This window comes from Homo sapiens, chromosome 2, assembly GCF_000001405.40.
Source record: "Homo sapiens chromosome 2, GRCh38.p14 Primary Assembly".
Classification (NCBI taxonomy): domain Eukaryota; kingdom Metazoa; phylum Chordata; class Mammalia; order Primates; family Hominidae; genus Homo; species Homo sapiens.
Window position 1 is genome coordinate 62,776,731 of NC_000002.12, and position 27,064 is coordinate 62,803,794.

Consider the following 27,064-nt stretch of genomic DNA (forward strand, 5'->3'; position numbering starts at 1 on the left):
TACAATCCATTTACTTATTAGTGTAGATAAGAATGGATACTATAAAACACTATGTTTCATTTTTATCTACTGTAATAGAATAACATCTGTTCATCCAGACAGTTGACATTGTAGGGTTTTTTAAAAATATGAAGCCACAACAGTTATATTTAGGAAACAAAATTTTTTTTCTCTTCCTGGTGTTTTAGATTACCCAATTAAATCCAGAACCATTACATTTGTAAATTATATCCATAGGTTTTAGTTTCTTGTTTTTACATTTGAGACAAGGTCTTGCTCTGTCACCCAGGCTAGAGTGCAGTGTTGTGATCATGGCTCACTGCAACCTTGAACTCCTGGGCTCAAGCGATCGTCCTGCCTCAGCCTCCCCAGTAGCTGAGACTACAGGTGCACACCATTATACCTTGCTAATTTTCTATTTTGTAGAGACGGAGTCTCCCTTTGTTGACTAGGCTGTTTTGAACCGCTGAGCTCAAGCAGTACTCCCACCTCGGCCTCCCAGAGTGTTGAGATTACAGGCATGAGCTACCACACCCAGCTGGTGTTGGTTTTTAAAATCTAAAAAAATTTATTTTTCTGATTCCACTGTTTTATTTTAATACATTAAAAGCATATTGATGAAAGGCACCAATCAGATTGAATCCATTCATTAATTTATTCAACCATTCTGCAATATTTTAATATGGATTTTCTATATGCCCAGACATTTGGTGGTTATTGAAGATACAAAGTCAGTTAAGACATGCAGAATTTTGATTCTGAGATTCATGGTTTTTTCTCCCACATTTTTTTCTGTGAAATTGGGATCATCTTATATCTAGGATGTCCCACAGTTATAACTGGTAGTTTTTTGTTTGTTTGTTTGTTTTGCTTTCTTACTGCTATATAAAATAATGACTGCTATATAAAATAATCTTTAAACCAATGATAACTTATATTTGATGACATAAGATAACCTGTCCTCAAGAAGCTTATAAAGTAGTGAAGTGTCAGAGAGGTAAAGAACTGCAAGGAAAAACATAAAAATGTTCGTAGGGTACTACAGGACAGTAATGGAGGGCAGAGTTGGAATAATTCCTGGAGGAAGTGGCTACAGAGTTTAGTCTTGAAGGAAAAAGGAAGTTAGGCAAAAAAGGCATTCTAAGTAGCGGAAAGAAATAGCAAAAGTAACTGAAAGAGGAAAAACAAAACCAACAGAAAACATGAGCTCCCCCATTAAAGATTAATAGACATCTGCTTTTTGTTTTGTAACTGTTAACCCAATGAATGTAATAATAGGCATAAGATTAACTTGGTTCTTCGTCCTCCGTGAAGATCAGTGGGGTATCAAAATGTGTTTTCTTGGTGCTACCTATTCACTATGCAGTCTTTCCCACTATTTCTGACTGTGACCCATGAGATAGGAAGTTCGGCTCCTCCAGGGCTCCACTAGTCCCTTTTTTATTGCTGTTTGTTTGATGTTACCTCCGGAAGACTTTTAAGTGAATGGCGATGGGCTAAATTAATTATGTTAATTCCAAGGCAGATGGCTGGACCTGGTAGCACACGCCTGAATCTTAACACTTTGGGAGCCCGAGGTGGAAGTATTGCTTGAGCTCAGGAGTTCAAGACCACCATGGGCAATATAATATAGTGAGACCTTTTCTCTACAAAATGTCAAAAAATAGCTGGGCTATGGTGATGCATGCTTGTAGACCCAACTACTTGGGAGGCTGAGGCAAGAGGATTGGTTGAGCCTGGGAGGTTGAGACTGTAATGAGCTCTCATTGCGCCACTGTACTCCAGCCTGGGCGACAGAGTGAGACCCTGTCAAAAAAAAAAAAAAAAAAATCCAAGGCAGTAGTGTAAATGCTTCTCTGCTTTGTTTCTTTTGTTGGATTATGTTGAACAGGATTACTTGCCCAACCAAACTCACCTGACAAGATTATACCAAGAACAGAGATGATATAATAGCTCAAATAATACAATGTAAACAATATAAAATCACAATGTTTCTGACCTTATTAAATTTAAGTTTAAATCCTTCTCCAAAATGAAGTCAATCTCTTGATCTCGCAAAATAACAATTCTGATAAATTACTTCTACTTTTTCTTTCAGAGAAAAAAAGTATATAAATGCTGCTTCTCTCCTTTAGTTGTTTTTTTTTCTGTGTCACCTCAATCAAGGCATCTCACTTCAATGTCTGGGGAAAGACTGGATATCTTTTTCAGAAACTGTAGCTTGCACTTTCTCCTGTAGCTCCAAACTGGGATTATCTTTTCAGCCCCAAGCATTTCAAGAATACATTTCCAAAGGTCTAAAGAGTGTCTAGTGCATATGAGAATACCACATCGCAAACATTAGCAGTACCCCTCTTCCACCATGGAGTCAGTTTATAATCTAACTATCAGTAGAGATGGCTCAGCCTTTTTAGGGTACGGCAGCATTTACCTTAGTATAGTCCTGTTTATAGCATTCCATTTAATGTTCCACCCCCTCTGGAAATGTGGCCCAGTTAACTTACTTGAACCTAATCAAATTTCCACTAGGCAGCATACTCCACTTTTTGTTCTTCTATTAATCCAATAATTAAGAATGGTTTAGTCAGTAATGCCCATTTATCTGTATTTGTTAGTATTATATACTATTTATATATACAGTAAACTTTTATTTTTCCTGTAGTTCATTCAACTTTGTGTGGAGGGAAACCAGTCCTTTCCTTACCCTATTGACTGCAGTTTCGTCAAGGAAGAAAGTGAATTCTCTCACTCTTGCTGAATGGCAAGAAAATTCATGTGCTTATGGCTACTTGCTCAGAGAGTATTGTTCTACACAGCACTAACCAGAATACATTTGAATGATAAATCAAAGATCCCTGTATTGTTAGATCTCTTTTAGGCCATTCTTTTGGTATAAACTTCTCAACCATGTTCTTTTCTTACAGTCCCAGAGTCTTAAACCCTTTTGGATTTCTAAATATTTCGGAAATTTGAAAGCAATGTATAGAGGACCCCTGCTCATCTTGTCTTTCATACAAATGTAGCAATTTGGATAAATCTAATCAAGATCCAGTGTTTTATTTTTAGTTTCAACTTAACTTTTTTGGTTATTTTTCAAATATGCACAAAAATAGAAGAAATAATATACTAAACCTCTAAGTACACGTCTCCCGGCTCAATAATCTTCAGTATTTTTTTCAAACTTATTTCATCAATTCTTCTACTTTTCTGTTGTTTGCTTTACCAGATTTAAAGTACATTTCAGATATTATATCATTTCTTCTATAAATAATGAAGTCCACTTGAACATCATCAGCTTAAGAACGTGGTTAAGAGTTACTGGCATGTCAGAAAAGGTGACCTACCAGCAAATAATTTTTTTTTAACTTAACTGCCTTTTAGATGATCTCTCTGACCTGTTAGGCTGCACATTCAATATTATCTTGATTCTTAAAAAGTGATATTATTCTTGTTTCTACAAAGAAAAAAAAATTGACTATATAAGAAGCAACAAAGCTTCTCTTATAACCCCCTCAGAATTAAACTCCTGAATTAACAGGAGGAAGCTCATGGTTCAGACAGGCTTTTTTAGTCTTTTAATTATCCTGTCAACTTTCTGTTGTATATGATTATGGGAATGATGACTGGCTGTCTGTAAATTAGGCGGGGTATAATAGATATGACTAGGAGCTAAATGAAAAATTTTTAGCTAACTAAATCTTACTTTGGTTGCATTTCAGAGAAATTTCATATATATATATCTCTCCTCCTTAGTTTCCCTTAATGTTAAGTATTTAATGTGCTGTTCTAATTCAGAAATTTTTCAGATTGTGCTTCTAGAGGAAAAATCCCATCTCCTTTATTCTCAAATGATCCTTTAACTTTAAATAAAATAATGGAGAAACTTTTGTTGCACTTAAAAAAAGAGGTATGCCTAAGAATGATCATGCATGCTTTGAGCCTGTCAACTATACTGTATTTATCTTTGTGTAATGCAAGAAACTCTATGTTAAAATAGTGAATAAAAATTACATGCCAGATAATTTATTTCACATAGCAGTTTAATTTGTGAAATGTCCTAGCTAACACATTTTAAGGGAAAGTTCCATTTTTTAGCAACAGAGTACTGTTTTCATACTATTACAGTGTTCTTGTTTTCTGGTTCTGTTTTTCTGAGTTTTGTCCCTGTTCAGTATTTGGAGATTATTCGTCTTTATTGACATTGATCATACATTACAGATCAAGTACTGCAATAGTATAAAAATTCACATGATTACTTATTACTCATAATTGCTTATTTATCCAACCAGTATTTAATAAATAGATATCATGTGACAGATACTTGCTACATACTGAGAGTGTAATGGTGAAAAAGGTGTGGTCTCTGACTTCCAGTATCCTACAGTCTGGAGTGGGGAAACAGGCAACCACTATGAAGATTAAGTTTAGGATGTTTTATGTTCCCATATAAAGAGTACTTAATGCAGTCTTGGTGGGTTAGGGGAGGCTTTCTATTGAAAGTGATATATAAATTGAAACCCTAAAAAGTAAAGTTTTTACAATCCTTTTTCTGTAACTTCAAAATCCAAAATCTCTACCTAAGATGTTTATAATTTTTTATTTTTTTGGAAATTTGATTCAAATTCATTTGGTGGCAAAACCTGACCTTACCCAAAATGAAGCTATTCGTGGTATTTATTCCACTTAGTGTAAATGTTTATTCATTTTGCTGCAAAAATAATATGTTTGATTATTTAGTCAGACTGCCTCAGACTTCACTGGGAGTGTGCTGTAGTATATATATGGTAAAGGCATTGTATTTCCTTCCTAAAATCCAAATGAGAGATTTCAGATAGGAGATTAAGTACTTTTGATAGTTGTCTGCATTGGATTTGTAGGGTGATTCAGGTGGCTGGAGCAGCTTGAGCAGAGGTCTGGAGGCAAGAGAGGCTTCTTTGTGCAACAGCATGTCGTTCACTAGATTACTTTCTTTTATATTTCACTTTTTAAAGAGTGGTTGATTTTTCTAGGGTTATAATAACTTAACCATATGTTAAGTTACTTTTCTTTCTAAAATTACTTAGGCCAGTGTGATGTTAACTTTAAGATCTTGCTTCACCTGCCTCTTAAAATAAAAATAAGCTATATCAGCTGATCAGTTAATAACTTCATAAATCATAAATGATACTTGATATGTTTTGTTAGAGAAAACAAAGCATTTTCAAATAAAATGGGATATTTCATCTTTATGAAGCATTTCTAAAGTGGATGTTATTATAATTTTACTCAGTGAGATTAAGTGACACGCCCAAGAACACACAGAAAGCAGCTTAGCCTGGCCTCAAACCCATGTCTTCAAACTCTGAAACCCATGCATTTTACCATTTACTCACTCACTCAATCATCAAACATTTATTGTCCTAGGCACTAGATTTAGAGCCTAGTGCTATATTAACTACTATGGAGGATACAAGAGAACACCTCCACTCAGATATTAATTTTGGTTTGAGGGATACGCGTGTGAGACAAGAGTAAGGTGATATGTACTATGGTAAATGTATAATGATAGCTGAAAAGTACAATAGAGATTAGAGATAGACCAGTTAATATGGACTGAAATTATCAACAATGTTTTAAGTGTAGCTTTTCAGACATGGCTATGTGTATTCCTAGAGGTATCTGACAGTTTCTATCTTTCTGTATTGTAAGTTTTTTTCTCGGATAAAACTAGTAGTAGTTGTATTGGTTTGTTCTCACACTGCTAATAAAGACATACCTGAGACTGGGTAATTTATAATATAAAGAAAAGAGGTTTAATTGACCCACAGTTCCGTATGGCTGGGGAGGCCTCAGGAAACTTACAGTCATAGTGGAAGGCACCTCTTCACAGGGTAGCAGGAGACAGAATGAATGCCAAGCAAAGGGGGTAAGCCCCTTGTAAAACCATCAGATCTCCTGAGAACTCATAAGAACAGTATGGGGGAAACTGCCCCCATAATTCAGTTATCTCCACCTGGTCCTACCCTTGACGTGTGGAGATTATTACAATTCAAGATAAGATTTGGGTGGGGACACAGCCAAACCATATCATTCAGTCCCTGGCCCCTCCCATATCTCATGTCTTCACGTTTCAAAACAAAATCATGCCTTCCCAACAGTCCCCCAAAGTCTTAACTCATTCCAGCATTAACCAAAAGTCTAAGTCCAAAGTTTTATCCGAGACAAGGCAAGTCCCTTCCACCTATGAGCCTGTAAAATTAAAAGCAAGTTAGTTACTTCTCAGATACAATGGGGGTGTGGGCGTTGGGTAAATACACCCATTCCTAATGGGAGAAATTGACCAAAACAAAGGGGATACAGGCCATATGCAAGTCCAAAATCCAACAGGGCAGTCATTAAACCTTAAAGTTCCAAAATGATCTCCTTTGATGCCATATCTCACAGCTAGGTCACGCTGATGCAAGAGGTGGCACTCACAGACTTGGGCAGCTCCACCTCTGTGGCTCTGCAGGGTACAGCCCCCCTCCTGGCTGCTTTCACGGGCTGTCATTTAGTGTCTGTGGCTTTTCCAGGTGCACAGTGCAACCTCTCAGTGGATCTACCATTCTGGAGTCTGAAAGATGGTGGACCTCTTCTCACAGCTCCACTAGGCAGTGCCCCAGTGGGGACTCTGTGTAGGGGCTCCAACCTGACACTTCCCTTCCACACAGCCCTAGCAGAGTTTCCCCATGAGGGCTCTGCCCCTGCAGCAAACTTCTATCTGGACATCCAGGCCTTTGTATACATCCTCTGAAATCTAGGTGGAGGTTTCTAATCCTGAGTTCTTGACTTCTGTGCATTCACAGGCCCAACACCACGTAGAAGCTGCCAAGGCTTGGGGCTTGCACCCTCTGAAGCAATGGCTTAAGCTGTATGTTGGCCCCTTTTAGCCCTTGCTCAAGTGGCTGGGACACAGGGCACCAAGTCCCAAGGCTGCACACAGCAGGGGAGCCCTGGACCTGGCTCAGGAAACCATTTTTCCCTTCCAGGCCTCCTGGCCTGTGATGGGAGGGGCTGCTGTGAAGGTCTCTGACATGAACTGGGGACATTTTCCCCATTGTCTTGGTGACTAACATTAGTCTCCTCATTACTTATGCAAATTTCTGCAGTTGGCTTGAATTTCTGCCCAGAAAATGGGGTTTTCTTTTTTATCACATTGTCAGGCTGTAAATTTTCCAAATGTTTTGCTCTGCTTCCTCCTGAATGCTTTGCTGCTTAGAAATTTCCTCTGCTGGATACCCTAAATCATCTCTTTCAAGTTCAAAGTTCCACAGATCTCTGGGGCAGGATGAATTTAGAAATAAATCAGCCTTAATAACTTTGAAGAATTTCCCCTTTACCCTTAAAATTAGGAAAAATTTAGAAAAGTGGTCAAATGACATGAAATGGATATAAAACTACTAATTAAATCACTAAAAATCATGATGTATTTACTTTATATTAAATCTTTTCAGCCAAAGCAATTAACAATATATGTTTCCTACCTCTTTTGATATTTTCCAAAATCACATTTTTTCTTTTCAAACTGAAGAAGAGAAAGATTGAATTTTTTTATAAAGGAGACCATTGTTCTACTTAATTTGGGTCACAGAATGATTGTTTTTTGGATTTCATTATCCTGGGTACTGTGATATTGGTTATACATTTACTTCCTAACATTGGGGATATGAATAAGACAAAGTTTCACCTGCATGTAGTTCTCAATCTAGTCAGAGAGGCAGATCTGTAAGCAAATCATCGAAATATAGTGAGGATGCTAAAGAGGCAGGTGGCAGGCCCCTTGAAGACGTCCAGGAGTACTCATATCTATCAGGGGCATGGGAAAGGCTTTATGGAGCAGTTGCCACATGAACTTGAAAGACTTTTAAAAGTTCACTCACCAGATAATTGTGTGAAGAGAATGGGGTCTGAGGTAAGCACAGAGGGAATAGCCTTGGTAAAGGCACAGAGATAAAATTGTTACAGCTTTATACCCAAAGTGAGGAGAGTACTAGGGGTTGAAGCTATCAACATGAGCCCTTACTCATCTTGGGTAAGACTATGGATGGCCTTGTGTGCCATACCGAGGAATTTGAACTTTATCCTAGCAGCCTGTGGATCCCAAACTTGGCTGCCTATGAGAATCACTTCTGGACTATGAAAACATATAGATTTGCCCACTGGACCCTCTATGATTCTGATTCATCATTCCAGTAAGCTATCAGGAAGCATGGAAAAGTTTTAAGCAGAGTGATAATATGGTCAGATTTGTATTTTTAAATAATCAGTTTTTACCTTTCAAACTTTTTTTTACTGTAGCTGTAAGAAATACATTTTATATTATGATCTAGTATACACATATATGTACCTGTGAACAACTGAAACAAGTCTTACTCTTACAAGTATTGTGGGATGTACTGTGGTATTTTCTGTTCTATCCTGATGTTTTAGAATGCTGTTTGCAAACCGCTTAATTGACTTTGCAACCCATTAAAATGAATTCACCATCCACTAATGGATCATAACCCACAGTTTAAAAAAGATATTTCTATAGAGAATGAATTGAAATGTGCAAAACTGAAGGACTTGAGATCAGATAGGCAACTGATTCAGTTATCCAAGTAACAGATGTCATGGGCGTGAACTGGGACAGTGGCCTTAGCAGGTGCAGACAGAGAAGAGGCGAAAAAGATTCAGAAGTGTGTAGAAGGTAGTGGAATCACTTCTTAGTGACTCATTTCAAGGGCTAAGGGAGGTCAGAGAGTGTAGGGTGACTTCCAGATTTCTAGTTTGAATGTTTAGATAATTTGCTCTTAGTCAGTATAGAGAACACAAAGGAAGAATTGGTAGGAGTGGGTTGTGGCGGGGGAAAGATATCCAGAAGGCAGTTGGATATATCAGTGATTTTTTTCCAAGTGAGATTCCTTTAAATTTTATTTTCTTTTTCTTATTAAAATATATATTTTAAGGCCCTGTATTCTCCTTCACCTTTCTTATACAACCTACTTTTTCTTACATTGGTTTCTAGTGTTTTTATGTGGATTGCCCTAAAATATTTTTAAACTTTCTGCTTATGCTGTAAACTACTGTAATACCATTCCAGTCTTTTCCAGGACATATATAACTCCTTGCCCAAATGAAACTTACGAAACTTTTTTTTTTCTTTCTGAACCACATCATCCTTTCCTCATCCATCAGAGGTAGTGATCTCATTTTTCTGACCTTTCTGCGTGTTGTTCCATTTTGTATTTCCAGCTTTGTGGGCATTAGTTGTCTACTGCATTCCCGTATGTAACCAACTAAACATTGTTATAAGCAGTGCAGCAATGCTTGCTGGAACTTGATAATTTTCTGCCACTTGTGATTCAGTTAAATAGATCAGATTATAGTCATATTAGGGTTTGGCTGGGCAGTTCTGGCTTTGAAATCTCTCATGCAGTTGTAGTCTGAGGTGGTTGGGGTAGAACATGAGGGGAGGAAGGACTGGAGCCCATGAGATGGACCCTGGCATTTCATGTGGTATCAAGGCCTCTCCATTTCCTCTCTTTCAGTGGGTTAGTGTGGATTTTTTTCAAGGCAGTTGGATTACTTTCATGGCAGCTAAAGACTTCAAGAATGACTATTCTAGCTCTCCCAGTGTAAGTTGCATCACCTTCTTGACCTAGCCTTGCCACATAGTGTTACTTCATCATTTTATGTTAGCTGTAAGCCAATCACAAACCTGCCGTGGTTCAAAGGGGAGGGGAATTAGACTCTACCTCTTGATTGGGAAGTGGTAAGGCTCTAGAAGAAAATGTGGGATGAGAAATATTTTTGTAGGCAATCTGCAATAGCTATGTAGAAAATATATCAATGTCATCATACAGATTTTTAGTTTTGCCTGGAGTTTGCTACTGTGTTCGTACTGCACCTTGAATCTTAAAGATTAAGTTAGCTTTTATGATTTAATTTTTCACATCTTGTTTAATTTCTGAACTTGGATAATTTGCTTTCTCCGCAGCAGAATTAAGTATATAGTTATGAAGATGCTTTAAGCCTATGTGTTAGGTTTCACTGGTACAGGACAGTTGCAGGCAGCAGCAGTTTGGCCAGCTCTGCAGAGTGGGCAATTTTGAATTGCATGTTATCTTGTGTGTTTTCTAAGAGCAGTTCTTGATTCCTGTCTTCAAAACTCTAAGGGACCCCTGTAGCCTGTTGAGTAGACTGCTGAAAGTTTTAAATAACTGAAAATACGTTCTCACTTTAACTGCTATGTTCCTTGTTAGACCGCAGGCATGGCTGTATGACATAAACCAAATATTACTGGCTGTATTTCATAGCCTTGCAAGTTTTCATTAGCAATAGGAAATGAATCTGACAAGACGCTGTCTTTCTTTAAGTATGTGCACTATTATTGCTTATTTTCAGAAATAAGCTCCTATCAGTATAGTCATGATTTTTGACTGATAAAGTTTAGTTCCCAGTTCTGCTGCCGTGCTTGAATTATACTTAATAAATATCATTTGATAATCTGCTGACATAAATACTAATTTTAACAATGGTTCTAAAGTTATATTTTATAAATATACTATGCAGGAAAAGAAATCCCTGAGGATAGAAAATACAAAACAACAATTAATATGGATACTCCTGTTGCCCCTCCTGCACCACCCCACACTGCACCGCTGCCCCCCCCCCCCACCCCCTTGCTCCATTAATGTGTTCTTTCATAGAGGCGTGGCAAGTTTGTCTATATTGAAGAAAGCCTATCTGGAATAGTCATTTAGTGTAATGCTGTTTAGAGTATTATAACCACTTGATGGCACCCTTTGATTTGGTACAAACCTCATTAGCCATAGCACAGTGCAGCATAGTAGTTGTAATGGAATAACACATAAGAACTAAAGACTGCAAGGTATCTGGTTAATGTAGAGATGAAATGAATGCAATAGCAAGGCTAAGCTTTCCTGACCCTTCATGAAAGAATAGATGAAAAAAGGAAGAATAAGCTATTGTGCCAAAGGGAGATGATGAAATTCAAGATCCACACACATAATCTCTGGCTCAGCCTCTGAAATGTTAATCCCTGGGTAGAATTATTTGAGCTATAGATTGCAATTTATCATCAAAATGGCACTGTGTCAAACAATACTTTTTATATGTGTGGTGTTTAGAACTATCCAATTTTAATATAAAATGGTTCACAGAGCACTGGCTAATATTTAAGTAGCAACTCTTTAAGGTTGTGATTTGGGGGAATGGAGTAGGATGGTTTCTTTACATCAAAATATGAATTGTGTTTTAGATAGAAGGCTTTGGGAGAATTTTTTTCTTTTTCTCAGTGACAGTTTATTTTTAATGCCAGGAAAAGGGATTTTTAAAGAATGCCTCTTTTAAATTAAGTGGTTTAGAATTGTTTTCTTTCATAGACAAATGATGTTTTTGTAATTATACAATAATTCTGTAATTTTTTCTAACATTGCTTAAAAATATGCTAGCTGATGAAATGTTATATATTTAAAGGTTTATGTGGTCTTTCCTATTCCAATATAAAATATTTGTATGTTTTCTCTTATTTAAATCACCCAACTTCTGCCCACTAGGGAGTGGAGTCATAATTCGTATGTGTTGTGATGTTTTTTCCCTTAAAACCAAATTCTTCCAATTAAAAGAACTAAACTTTGATAGTATAGGTGGAGGGGTGGGTATTGCATATGTCTATTAATCTGTCACTCTGAGTAATACTCATGTTATGGACTTTTCCTGTGTACCAAAAAAAAAACCCTGTTGTTATTTTCTAGAAAATTAGGAAACTTAAAATAACCCTGTTTCTGGAATCTAGAAGCTTGAAATTCCAGTTTAACTATATATTTTTCCTTTAAACTTTATCATACTAATTTATAAGAGGCTTTTTTTGCCTCCTTTCACTTAAGAAAAGCAATTATTTTCTGTTATTACTAAGAAATTATTTTACTTAATTTTGTTTTTATATTCTTCTTACCTGTTTCTGAAGGTTTGCCAATAAGCTTGATCTTTAACAGAAACCTATATTTAATTTACACCTAATAGATCATACCATTCCAGTACCTTCATTACTAATTGCAGATGTTGAAGGCATGCTGTGACCCTGTTAGATGTATTAGATGCTGTAGCACAAATCTATGAAACGCCACTCATCTGTGCATGAATAATTCTGTGTTACCATATTTTAGCTCTGGTGGGAAAAATATTTGATTTACTGGTGGTAGGGAACATGAGAGGAGTCACTGTGAAAAGCATATGTCCTGTGAAAATGTCTTGTCTTTGGCAGCTGTCTTCTTTTAGTGATCATGAAGAGTTAAACCTTAGATCCAGAGTCACACCTATGGAGACTAGAAGTTGTGCATGTTTGAGATATTGCTGGCCCTTTATAATACCCAGTCATCAAGAACAGATAGTATGGAGTAGTCTTTTGGCTGTTGCCATTAATAAGAGTGCTCTGTGAGACTGCATAGCCATTTCAAATTGTTTTTGGAGGCAAAGGGTTCAGAATGTACATTAGGAAGACACAAACACATATATATGTAGTAGAAAAAGACCTTGGAATTCCTAACTTGGTAAAATATTACAAAGTTGCTTCATCTATTTACGTAATTACATCTGCTGACGTTTTAATTTAAATGCCACCTAGAAAGTTGATAGAGTTAAGTTTAGCTGAGTGTTTTAAAAATGTGACTTTCTCAACTATGTAACACTTCTCCACCCACCCACCCACCAAAAGGCCTACTCCCTGCTTTCTGTTTCTGAGGACAGAATGTTATAAAGGACGGTTAGTGCCTCAAACGTGCACAACCTCTGATCTTCAGAGGTCTGGCTCTGGATTTAATTCTTAACTATTCATGATCACTTAAAGATGACAGCTGCCAAAGTCAAGATTTCAGTAACCTTTTAAGTAAGCTCCTGGTTCCACACGGAGTGCCAATGCATACATCTTCCAACCCACTGCACTGGCAGTCTCATACCCAATGCTGAATACAGTGTTCCAGCCTGGTGCCTTTCAGCACACACAAAACTGATCAATGTCCAATTTTATCCAACCACCCACACTAAATATGAAACCTCGTGATGCTGTCACAGATGCCTGCAGGGTAGCACTCCTGCAAATTTTAAAAAACATGAGATTGTTAAAACAACTAGGAAAAACCCCTTTCTGATGCCAGTTACCTAAAACTTACTTGTTTTTGAAGTAGCACCTTTAGTTTTCTATATGATGTCAGCGAATATAATTTGTTGAGAAAAATGTTTCTTACACATTGTTTTTCCACATCCTCCTAGTTTTATAGGCCTTATTAAATAGTTTCAGTGAGCCAGTCTTTGAAATAAAGCCCAGGTGAATATTTATATTTCCACTGTAGCAGCAGCATGCATTCTTGATGATTGACCTTTACCCTGACATAATGTCGTCTTGTGACATTGAATGAAATAAATGAAGAAACTAGTCCTTGGCTTGATTTGTATTGGCAGAAGAAAGCAAACAGAGTGGTTTGTCAGGTTGCTAAAAACGTCAAAATACAGTTCTGGGACAATTTCTAACACAAAGGTTTTTTGTTGTTTGTTTTGTTTTGTTTTTTAAATAATGTGTGGGTGGTTGGATGTTCTTTGAAAAAAGCACACATTTGAAAGGAAATTGAATTCCAGCAGTACCTGTATCAGATAATAATAGGAAGTAAATTGTTTCCCTTTATTTGAAGTTGCATTTTATTAGTCAGATGCTTGTTGGTGGCATGTTTAAACATTAAACATTTAGAGAACTGCACAGCTTTACAGAAAATAGTGTTACTTTATATAAGGATTATGTATTATTAAAAGAAATAAGGCTCTACTCCTATAAACACTTGTTGTGTTGTAACTTTAGTAATCATTAATTTTAAATAATTTTCGTTTCTACATGTAAGTTATACACGGTATAACAGAACTCCATTTGAAAAGTAAGGTCTAAAATATTTTTGTGTAATTCTCTTGTTACTTTATAGATTTTGGCTTTGCAGACAAGTTGACTATTTCCACAAGAGGTACCCATCAATGAAATATCCTGTTTTGTAGATGTTAGTGTTTATACCATTATTAAATGAGTACAACCCTATTCAATTATTGTCTCTTGTGTTTTATCTTGAAAGCATTGCTTTCAGGCAGTTAATCTATTTCAAATTAGTGTTGTAATATTTTTGTTGTTTTAAGTTATAACTCACTATTATGTTATTCCATAACCTTAAAACCTAGTTTCCCAATATAGATGTGGGTTTCTGGATTAAAATAATCAAATCACAGAAATTTAGAGCTAGAAGAAAACTTAGAAATCATAAAATTCTCCTTGCTCATTTTCAGATAAGGAAACTAAGATATCATCTGGTAACTAGCCCAAAGTCATATTGCTAATGAGTGGTAAACTATTCATTTTCATTCATTTTCTTCACTCCCAGACTGAGGTTCTATATACCAACTTTAAGTAGTACATGTATGTGATAACATGCTTTTAAATGTTTGCTTTTTATGCTTCTTCAAATAGTTCTAGAAAAATTGAATTTTTTAAAGAAAAAAACCATTTGTAATGAAAGGTTTTTAAGATAAACATCAGTTTTACTGAGGTAGATAATTTGATAGTATTTAAAGAAAATAAGACCAAAACAGCCAGCAGCCATATCTGGCTTATTCATTTAAGTTCAATGCATGTGATTCCCTGCTTCAGATCATGTGCTGCATATACTAGCTACATTTTAAAATCTAAAATCCCACTTAATCATACACTTTGCTAATATTTTTGGAAAATACATTTTTGAATAATATAAGAACATTTTAGTTTCATTTTAAAAGATGGTTATTATAAAGTTTTAAATTCTGTAATCGAGTGAAAAATATCTGACGTTAAAAGTTTTAAAAATAAAAAATAGGTTATGATGTCAAGTTTGTTAGGTAACAAAGTTTGATTAAACTTTCCAAGAGAAAAATTTTAATGATGTTTTAAATACCTGTAAGAGGCTACTTTAAGTTTTCTTTATAGAATGATTACAATATATAGTTTTATATTTACAAATTAGTAAAATAAGGAAGTGTAGCAATATAATTTAGTCAAGAATACTGCCCAAATGTTATTTAGTAATATTTATAATGGTAGTTTAGATATCTAGAGATTGCTTTAAAACAGGGTTATTTTTAATGTTAATGTATAAATTTCCATCCTGGCCAAAAAATAACACTCAGCAGCAATACTTGTTCTCTTCATATCGCTAATTAATTAGAAGTTTGCTCATAAAGTGTTTCAGAATTTCTGAATACAGTTGTGTTATACTCAGCCTTCTTGCCATCCAGATACAACATTAGACACTTTGTTATATATAGGTTAAACTTGGATTAATATTGGTTTACAAGTACTACTTACAGTTATTTCAGACCTCTGCATCTACTTTTAAGGTATGTCAGTTGATACAGTTAATTAAAGTACTACATATGCTGCTGTCTAAGCCAATTTAAATAGTAGGGAATGTATTTCCAGTTATGTGAGCTACAGAATGATGGTACTATAACATGAGATCTCCCCCTCTAAGCCAGTAATGTTCTACAGTCCAGATATATTAGTGCCTTTCTTTTCTCTTCTTTTTAAATAGCTGCTTCTTGTGGAGCAGGGCTAACTCCTAGGCAGTGAGCCCAGAGTCAGATGTATTAGTGGTTCATATTCTCGTTTTCAAAACATCTTGTCTTTTTTGTTTAGTTTTGGAATGGCAGAAATCTAACTACATAATTGATTTCTGCACTTAGAAGAATGCTTTACAAATAGTAGATCCTCAATGATGTTTGATAAACGAACTCATCACTTATTTATATACTATATTTATGGATTTTTAAAAAATTTGACCTTACTCAGCTATTTAATTTTTCATGTGATAGTCTTGTATCTCTCTGCTAATTTTAGGCTGCTACTTAAAGTTTGAAAGGGTGTGTCTTTTTGTACACTCAAACAATACCCAGCAAGATGCTATGTGTTTATAAATACCCCAATAAATGGGTGTGTATCCAATTGATTTCACTCTCAGTATACTTAGAGTGAGATATTTAAGTGCTGCTTACCTACAGTGTTATTAGTTTTATGACTGAAGAAGACATCTATTGTAACAGATTCTGTGAATTAGATGTCAGGAATAGTATGCAAATAAAATTGATAGGTTTTTTTTTTGTTCTTTAGACTTATTTTTTATTAGCACTTAGTGTATCTTTAAAAATTTTAATATTTATTACACAGCCAACATAATGACAATGCTACGTATATTAAAAAGGAAAATTATCTATAATTCCATCATATCAATAAATTGATTTTAATTTAGCATTTTTCTTTCGAACATATACATGTTGTATAATTTTTTTAGGGTGCTATTTGTTTGCATTTAGGGTAGATTAAGTTCATAAATTCATTAATGTTATTACATTTCTTATTTTAAAAGATGCCTTATGCCTAGGTCATATGAGTGCTTTTAGAACTGATATTTTTGGATAGGTATAAAAGATCAATGTGTTTATTAACTAAACATATCCACAATGATTGACTTTTTTTCAACCACTCACAAAACTGCTTTGCAGGTGTGAGCTTTGAGGGGACCTCCATTTCCGCTGCAGTGACTCTCACTTTGGAATTTACTCCAGAGACAGCTTGAACTAGTGAAAATCTATAGGGCTTTGGATTATTATACAAAACCCATCATTCACCCAGTCTTTTGCAATGGTCATGTTGATTCAAGGACAGTTTTTGTGACTAGGTTCAGCGTTGAGTTTGGAAGTAGATTTCAGTGCATATATGTCAACAAGTAGATCATATAAAATGAAAGTGATGACTAGGGGTGTGTGTGGTAAAAATGAAATAAAGTTGAAGGGAACCACCTGGGATTGCTCAATTTAATTTGGTGGAATGGTCTTATTACCTTTCAGGATATTAAAAAGAATAAGTCTAAATTGGCAGTGATTCTTATTTTGTAAATAATAGCTCTATGCTGCATATGATCTACGAAATAAAGAAAAGAGAAATGGAAAACACTAAGTGTCTTTATTCTCCAATGGGGAAAAATACAAGAGAGGTATAATTTAACTCCAATAGAAATAAACAATGGTTGCCAAACATGTGTTAAGAAGGAGGAAAAATAAGAGGAAAAGGAATCTGTTTTTATGTCAGAGGAACTATCTGTGAAGTTAAGGCCTGGATTTGAAGTCTTACTTGATATAGTTTTGTACACAAGTCTTAGAATGTCCAGATCATATGTGGCCAGTATTTCTTATCTTTGCTCTCCTAATTTCCATCCTTTGTTTAACTCTTTCTTTATAAGTTGTTGTCTTCGCAATTTAAGAATAAAACAGAGAGCTGAGAACTGACTTCAAATCCAGCCTTTTCTTCTCTTTTCTTTAGTGGCTGGTTTCTAAATAATCCACAGCATTTTCCCCTATAAATCTTTATTTTTCTTCACTCCACTCTGTGTTGGTGGACATGATTAGTGAAAATCTACTCAAAAGTCAGTCACAATATGGTTAAATTATATTCCTGGTTTTGACTGCCTGCACCCTTAAATCAAAATAGGTGTTGTGAGAAACAAAATTGCTACAACTAGTATTTCTTGGTAGCTTGATAAATAGTTTTATTTAGAAAAGTGATTTTATAAAAATTATGAAAAGATAGAATAGACAGCATTTTACATTTCTCACTAACTCTTCTTATGTATTCATATATTAAGTAAACTTTTCTTCAAACTGAATATTGTTTTTAATCATTGTACATGTGAAAAGTAAAAACACTTTAAGTGACTATGTGTCAGATTAAATTTGGGTACTACTTTCAAATACCCTAAATTTGAGGAACTCCTTTTGCAATATAACTTTTTATTCTGATTGCTCAAAATTTATGTTTTTTAAAAAAGTCTCTATATTTAAAAATTAGATAAAATAATCATGTTTGCTTATACCATATTTACTATTGAATCTTCTTTAAACTTTTTATCATCTTACTGAAATTAAAATACTAAACAGATAAGTCACAAAGCCTATTTTTGGATAAAGAGAGAAAGGTATTCAGCATTTTTCTAGTTTCTAAAAAGGTGGAAAAACTCTACACTTCAAACTACTTAAATGTTTTTATTGTTTGTGAGCCTAAAACATGTATAAACCCTTTCTTTTACCACGTGTGTATTTAAATAAGTAACACTTCATATCTTCTCCATATAAAGTGAAATATTTCCTTAACACTAACACAAGTTGGTTCTCAGCCAAACCAAATAGAAGAATGAATGCTTTGTTAATCATTCGTAACTAATGTGTGTATACACAGAAAAAAAAAATCAAATCTGTTTTTGACATGAATCTTTTGATGGAATTAGCAAAAGAAAAAAAAAGGAACTTTTTAGCACAGGTCAAGCCTCTTTTAATTTATGAGCATAAAAGTTATTTTTAAAAAATCAATACAGGCACATGGTAACAAATCCAACAGTATGGAAGAACTCGTAAGGAAAATTAACATTCTCCTGCCTCTTCCTTCCTCCCTCCATCCTACCCCATTGTGGTAGTCTCTTAATTGCTTCAGATTCTAGTTCTTCAGTGGTTTCATCCATGGTTCTAGTTTTATATATTAATAATATGATTGTACTATATTTCATAATTATTTCATGATTTATCAACTTAGGCAACATTTATTGAATCTCCTATTCAGATTGTACATGGGTGGCTGGGAGCATTTCAGAAATTTAAGTAGGTATTCTCTGCTTATTCCCTCAGTCCAACTCCTTTCTCCATAAGGTTCTTAAGGCATCAGTACAGTATAGTTCCACTGTACCCACCACTGTTCACACTACCTCTAAAACTGGCTTTACTCTCATGCTCTTCACTGTCTATGCTTGCTCTCTGATTCCTTTCCATTTTTTCCCTTGTTAATAATATTTGCCTCTTTTTGTATTAAAATTGAATAAATCATAGATTAAAGTTAGGGAACTTGTATACTTTTCCTTTTAAAAATATACAAAATGCATTTTAAAAAACATGTATAGCCCAAAGTAATTGTATTTTGTTTTGTTTTAATTTTCCCCCTGTGGGTCAGTGTTCCTGGATTTCCTGCCCTTCCTTAATAGATAATAGCCTGAAGAAAAAATTTTTGACTTTAAAAAACTGAAAAGGCAATCATAGTATAAATTGGACTTGATTTTATGCTCTAAGATTGTAACATTGTTCTCACAGAACTCTTTAATATGAAGAGAAATAATAAATTTTGTAATGTCAGACTTTTCTGCCCTTCTGCCCCTTCTGCTTGGTTCAGCTGGTCCTTTCTATTCTTTTCCTAATAAACCTCTTTAATATAATTTGTCCTTGCCCACCATCTTTTGCTAGGAGATAATTCCAATTTAAAATGGTAATCAGGATAAAAATGGAGCTTGGCATTTAATTTTAGGACTTTACTTTTACTAGAATACATCAGTTACTTCTAGAGATTCCTGTACTGACTTCAGTCCTTTTTACAGAGCTTGTTTGGGACTCTGCCTAGAAATATGCATAAAACTGTGTGACACTGCCTAAGTCTTCCTTTTCAGCATTTTATGAATTACCTTTGTTAATTTATGTTACTGACAAAATTGATTGCACCTCTATGGTTAAGTCAGAATTTCTGCCTTCAAAATAGGGGTATTAGATTGTGGATCAAGATGACTAGGTTATCATCAAATAGGTCACCTTTTAATACACAATAAGAGCTGACTAGTAATGTTTTATACCTTCCTTTTTTCATTTAACCATATACATGGATACTTTTTAAGAATGCAAGAAATACACTCTAAAAGTTTTACTGTGTCTTAATTCTTTCCACACATAAAACGTAATTTTGATTGTTAAGATTTTAAAATGTAAAATTTTAATCATGAATGCATCCTGTTTTATTCAAAGTTCCAATGCAGCTTAATACTTTGACTTCCATAGCATATACCATTTACAAAACACTTCCATGTATTTAATGGTACTGGATTCTCTCAAAAACCCTATAAATAAAGCCTGTGGATTGTGTGTTGTTCATTAATGGTTTAATGAAGTTTAAATTTTTATCTTAAACACCTCTTTCCATGACTTCTGACTTTTTTTTTTTTTTTTAAATTTCTAAGACCAAACAGAGGCAGATCTTTTTCTTTGTCTCCTAAGTTCTCCCTCCTCCGTAGGCCCCCTCTCTGGAAACACACACACATATACACTGTTTTAAAACCCAATGAATAAAAGTACAGTGGTTTTATCTTCCCTAGCTCCCGTGAAACTTTGGAGCCCTATGAAAGGATCCTATTCTGTTGTTATAAAGAGACAAGCATTTGGGAAAACCTTACTAAATTATTTCTTTTTTGTCCTATCCTGTGAACATATCCTGACTGGTAAAATATGAACATGTAGACATCAAATACAAATTTCTGTTTGTTTGTTTTTTAAATGTTCAAATACTGCTTACAGTTCTGACTCTTAGCTATGCATGGCTTTTGTGTCAGATTACTTTGCGTGCAGCAACCTGGTGGTAGTTGTTGCTTGTATTATAATTTGAGCACCAACAGCATACTGGATGCCACACTAGACACATCCCAGCCCCACGGGCACCAGTTGATTGGCAGAAAGCTACTCCCATAGAGTGGTAATAATTGCAGAAAAGCAAAAGGAACTGAAATGAAATTTTTATCAATAGTTAACCTGAAATAACCCTTGCTAGATAATGTTCTCCAAGTAAAAGTCTATTTAAGGCTTTAGTTCTCAAAGATACTACCTGTTAGTGTACTTATCTTTGCTACTGTGTTAATGAATAAATAAAAATACGCCAATCAAGTGTACTGCTATAGTATGTGAAGAGCCAAGTTCATTGTACACTTCAACACAACCTTTTTTACTTAATAGGCAAACTTTTGCCTGTTAATTGTGGATGGAGGATACCCAGGCATGAGCTCTTTTGGGCCTGCATCTATCTTTTTTAAAAAACAAAAAACAAAAATACAAAACTGTAAATGAAAACAGTAGTAGAACTGTTGATAGGATTTGAATTCCTATAGCTATCTATGCCTTGATAAACTTACAGCATGTTTAAACTTTCTGGGTCTAAGTTTCCTTCTTCATCTGTAAACAGGGGTAATAGTACCAGCCTTAACTATTTAACAAGGTGTCAATGCAGATCAAATAAACAAGAGTATCAAACTAGGTAACTAAACAAATGATAAAAATGGCCATTAACTTTCTAAGTGCTGTAAGATCAAATGGAGTGAAAATAGATCATTTTTTAAAATAAGGCATATCTGGAATATATGGAAATAGGGAAGGAAATATAAGTAGAATTGAAAGATAATTTTTGTTTCACAGAAAAATAAAGGCCGGGTGTGGTGGCTCACGCCTGTAATCCTAGCACGTTGGGAGGCCGAGGGAGGCGGATCACTTAACGTCAGGAGTTTGAGACTAACCTGGCAATTGTGGTGAAACCCCCGTCTCTACTAAAAATACAAAAATTAGCTGAGAGTGGTGGCGCATGCCTTTAATCCCAACTGCTCGGGAGGCTGAAGCACGAGAATCGCTTGAACCCAAGGGGCAGAGGTTGCAGTGAGCTGGGGTTACGCCACAGCACTCCAGCCTGGGTGACAGAGTGAGACTCCGTCAAAAAAAAAAAAAGAAAGAAATATCTGTAGAAATCTCAATTCTCTTTTCCTGTAGACTGTTAGATACAGTCAGTTGTCTGCCTCTTTAGAGACTAGTATACTAGTTGTGGTGGTTTAAGAGTGTAGGCTCTGGACATTTCCTACCTGTGTGATTCTGAGAAAGTCGATGAACTTGGCTTTTACCTCAATTTACGTATCTATAAAATGAAGATAATAATACACCTATTTCATAGAATTTTTGTGCATTAACATGTGCTTAGAACAGCGCCAGACACATGGTAAATTGTCATTGTAATTTGTGTTTTTTTTATCTGACTTAAGCAGTAGCTAGAGTTATAGAAATTCATGCTATAGGAAGGCCGGGAGCGGTGGCTCAAGCCTGTAATCCCAGCACTTTGGGAGGCCGAGGTGGGCGGATCGCGAGGTCAGGAGTTCAAGACCAGCCTGGCCAACATGGTGAAACCCTGTCTCTACTAAAAATACAAAAAATTAGCTGGGCATGGTGGCGGGCGCCTGTAGTCCCAGCTACTCGAGAGGCTGAGGCAGGAGAATGGCGTGAACCTGGGAGGCGGAGCTTGCAGTGAGCCGAGATCGTGCCACTGCACGCCAGCCTGGGTGACAAAGCAAGACTCCGTCTCAAAAAAAAAAAAAAAAAAAAAAGAAATTCATGCTATAGGAAATGTCACATGGTGTCTCTAGTCTTTTCTATATGTGAGACATAGTTTTTAAGCTTTCATATTAGATACTCTAAAGGAAAGATGTATGGTTAGAGTTGGTAGTTTATACAACTTTTATAGGGAGCTGTGTAGTAGATGTTCCATACAAACCATGTTATTCATAATTACATATTGAAAAGGTTCCCTGTAACCAGGTACATTATCTATATGAAATGTTAGTAATTTGAAATGTTGAATCTTGCATTTTAACAGTATTTGCTGATTTTTATCTGAAAATATTAATTGGTCTTTATGTTACCTCTTTTTTGCACACTGTATTTTAGAGAATTATACTGTAACTATATATGACTGTTCAGTTTTAAATTGTAATAGTTAATTATGACTTTTAAACTTCGGAAAGTTTAAAATATTTTTATCACCCTGGAGCTGAAAAGTACTTTAAAAATCACCTGCCTACCTTCCTGCTCTTAGACAATGCTGTGCCTAAGACATCACAGAAAGCTATGGTAATTACCTATATGATTTTTTTAATCTAAAGAAAGAAGATCCTACAAATTGCCCTGAGGCAAGCTCAACACTACACAAATATTTAAGTATTTGATTATACTGGAAACTATGAAGTTGGGGCATCAGTATGAGGACCTGAATACCTTCTTACCCTCGCCTTTGAATTACCTATAGGGGGAAAACAACTCTTTAAAAAACAACCTAATCTACTCAGTACAAAAGCAAGTATGGCACCAGAATATGAAAGTTCAAGGAAAAAAAGCGTGTACTCTAACAGTGGTGTTTTATCTATATCCTTCAGGTAATTTTGGAGTTGGGCATATAAGCTGCTAGAATACCTACCTGGAGGAGGAGATGAAATGTTCCATGTGGCCACCTTGTCTCCTTTAGAGACTGTCACATTCAAAGTATATTGACCACATTAAAAGTACTCGTGGTAGAAAGCAAAGGTGCTGTTTCGTCACCTAAAGGTGAAAACGTGCTGTCTGGAACTTCGAAAAACTCAAGTATTCAATAATTTTTATGCCAGTCATGTCCAGCCCATAATTGGGTCTTTCGTCTCCACCTCTCTGCATAAACTGAATGTCCCTTGTCCTTTTTTGTAGTGATGGCAGTGATGATGCTTGAATTTTGAAGCCATAAATGTGATGTGTTAACCCTAAATGGTCCTCATGTATAGGAGTGTCCTTGAAAAAAATCTCATCTACCTCATGATTTAATATGATATAGTGTCTCTGGCAGTAGATAACCCAGCTTTTCTTTCTTTCTTTAATGTTACTTGTAACAAAATCTTTAGTCACCAAATCTAGTGACTCTTTAAAGAATGTTAATATCAGAAAGGTTTTTTGTTTCCTTTTTTTAATGGTGAGAGGGCAGTGGTTTTTAGTTGCATAGGATAAAAATTCCAGGACTGTATCCTAAGATTTGCTGGTTAAATAATTATAAAGACCATTGGATTGTGTTTTATACTGGCAGTTGTCTGGAGACTATATAAACTGTATCGCTGGGAAGAAATGTGGATGTAGTTGTTGTGAAACAGCCTAAAACAAGCTAGTGATTTATAAATCTTAGGGTTTTTGTTCTATTTTGTTTTTGGCAAGAGTGGTGGTCAATGAAGCATTTGAAGGTGTTTCTCTGCAACCTTACTAACAGATTGTAAAGAAATGACCATATCCTGCCACATATAGGTGTTTTTCAAACAGATGTTAGTATGAAGACACAAAACAATGTATTACAACCTGTTCTTTAATGTCTATGAAAGAAGCTTTGAGTTCACTTTCATTTTGGGCATACCAACCATCACCCTTCATGAAAGGCTTAGTAGAACTAGATGAGATCCACAGCATTCACAGGGTCACTTTCAGTTATCCTTTTAGTCAACATTGGACAAGAAGAAATGCTTCCAAACCAATGACTAGTTAGTTACAGGACTATTAAGGAATCAACCCTGGGCACCACCTCTAAGAGAAAAGTTACAGACCTTGCTGGATTTTTATATCCTGTTTATTCAAAGGTTTATAACTATACAATATTTTATCTAATTCACAATTTTTTGATGATGTATTTTAATTTCACCAGTGAAAGCCCATTTCTAACATTCATCTTGTTAACCACTAAGCTATTCATTTTACCAATAAACCTCACTTCTGATATTCACTATGCAAATTACCGATGTCTCAAGTGTTGATCACGATAGGGATAAAAGAAGTACTTGTGGTCGCTGCTTCTGGAGTATAGCCGTCTGATACAGTGCTCCCTTGACATGGCTCCTCAGTTAGGACTGCTGACTGCCTCTGGAGTTTGAAGTTTAACTAACTGATACATTTATATCAATCACACCATCTATACTGAAGTGTTGTGAGTATATTACAGACATCATGACAGGACTGTTGCTAAACACTTGAAATGGTGGAAATAATGTAATACATCCCTTCTTTCAGGTGGTTATGTGTTTAAATTTTTTTCAAAATGCATTTGATCAACATTTAAAAATACGTGCTTTCAGTTCACTTATTTATTGATACTCTTCATGAGAGAATTCAAGAGCTAGATCTGGCTTTTAATTTTTTTATACAACTCTTAGTAAATTTATTACAAATACTTAAAATCATGCTTACATGTCTGTAATTAAGTAGCATAATTAAACTAAATTTTGTTATTTGTAGCCATTTCTGTTTCATAGAGTTTGTATATTTAAATTTCACAAGCAAGTTGGTTTGTTGTATATTTCTTAACTAGAGACCAATTTCACTCATTATCTTTATAGAATAAAATTTGTACATTCATTCACCAATTTATTAAGCATCTCCTATGTGCTGAGATTTGTACTAAAAAATATAATTCCCAAACTTTAGTGTGCATTGGACTCATCTTGAGAATGTTAAATCGAAAGTGAAATCTAGGACTCTGCCTTTTAACAAATATCCCAGGTGCTGCTGATGCAGTTGGTCACAGGATATACTCTGAGGAACGCAGCCCAAGAGATAACTGTTTAACCACTCTGAACACCTTCCTAGAAAAGGCTCACAGCCTGTGGAGGCAAACAAGAAAACAGAACTAATAACTGATATCATATAGGATCAGGTGCAACGAATTCTAACTCTGGCTGAGGAACTTTTTAGAATATTTGATACCTTAACCCATGGTTCTCAATGAATGTAGTGGTGGGTAGAGTGTGGAACATTTTTTTCCCCGGGGGAATATTTGGCAATGTCTGGAGAAGTTTTTGAGAGTCATGTCTTGCTGGAGGAGGGGCAGGGTATGCCACTGGCCATCTAGTGGGTAGAAGCCAGGGATGCAGCTAAACACTCTATGATGCATAGGAAAGCCTCTCACAACAAAGAAGAATTTAGTCCAAAATGCCAGTAGAGCTATTGCTCAGAAATGTTGTCTTAGCTTATTTTTCTGCCTCTCACCTTAATGTCTGTTGTTCCCCTTCCCCATACACACATACTTTTGAGAAAGTTACACAGTTTTAAATAAGAATAAATGATGTTAAATATGAATAGATGATTATTATAAAAGATATAAACAATAAAGAAACGTATAAAGTAACAAAATGAAAGTTCTCCCTCACCCACACAGTCCTAGACATTTAAAATGATATTACACACACATATGTGTATTTAAAGGTTGTTAGGTTTCTGTTTTGTTCTTAAATGGGATCATACTTTTTTTTTTTTTTTTTTTTTTTGAGACAGAGTCTTCCTCTGTTGCCCAGGCTGGAGTGCAGTGGTGCAATCTCGGCTCACTGCAACCTCCGCCTCCAAGGTTCAAGAAATTCTCCTGCCTCAACCTCCCCAATAGCTGGGATTAGAGGTGTGCACCACCACGCCCAACTAATTTTTGTATTTTTAGTAGAGACGGGGTTTCGCCATGTTGGCCAGGCTGGTCTCGAACTCCTGACCTCAGGTGATCCGCCCACGTTGGCCTCCCAAAGTGCTGGGATTACAGGCATAAGCCAAAGTGCCCAGCTATAGAGATCATACTTAACATGTTGTTTTGTGACTTGCTTTTCTTCCTTCACAGTGTACAATTGCTGTACAGTGAGTGCCACGTTAGAGTACAGATGGATGTACTGTAATGATTTAACTGTTCTTCTGCAGGTGGATGTTAAGATTGTTTCCAGTTTACTTGATAGTGTTATGAATAGCACTGCATTGGGCACAGAGTGAGACCCTGTCTCAAAAAAAAAAAAAAAATTTATGCACACGTGCATGATAGATTCCCAGATACTGGAATAGATTCCCAGAATGGAACTGTTCAGTCAAAAGGGACAGTTATTTTATTTTGATAGTTTTATTGCTGAAAGAATATCCCCATAACAGGCTATAACTGTTTATATTCCCACCAACAGTGATTGAAATGCCTGTTTTTCACACCCTCAGCGATGCTAGCTATTACCACATTTCTTAATTTTTGTCACTTCGATGGGTGAAAATGCTATCTAATCATTATATCATCATTATATCTCACCATTATAATTTTATTTCCCTGATAATTAGTGATGTTGAGCATCTTGTTATATGTTTATTAGCCATGCATGTTTTTCTGTGAATTGTTCATGCCCACCCATTGCCAACTTTCAATTGAAATAACTGCATTTTTCGTACTTATTTATAGATCCTTATGTGTTCTATACATTGCTTGTTATATATCTTGCAGATATTTTCACCCTGTCATTTTTTCAGCATTGCAAATAGTGCCTTTCATCACACAGCAAGCTTTCAGTATTTATACGTTCAA

General features: G+C 35.4%; 1 protein-coding gene across 52 annotated transcripts in view, besides 1 other annotated feature; it reads left to right on the plus strand.

The window, feature by feature from the left end:
* Nucleotides 1–27,064, plus strand: part of EHBP1 (EH domain binding protein 1) — a 372,610-nt gene that overhangs the window by 102,853 nt on the left and 242,693 nt on the right. The window lies entirely within an intron of this gene.
* Nucleotides 8,563–8,632: an enhancer, noted in NCBI's record as "active region_15872". NCBI's record gives its function as "activates an Ori minimal core promoter by ATAC-STARR-seq in GM12878 lymphoblastoid cells {active_cell/tissue: GM12878}" and the evidence as "EXISTENCE:reporter gene assay evidence [ECO:0000049][PMID:35858748]".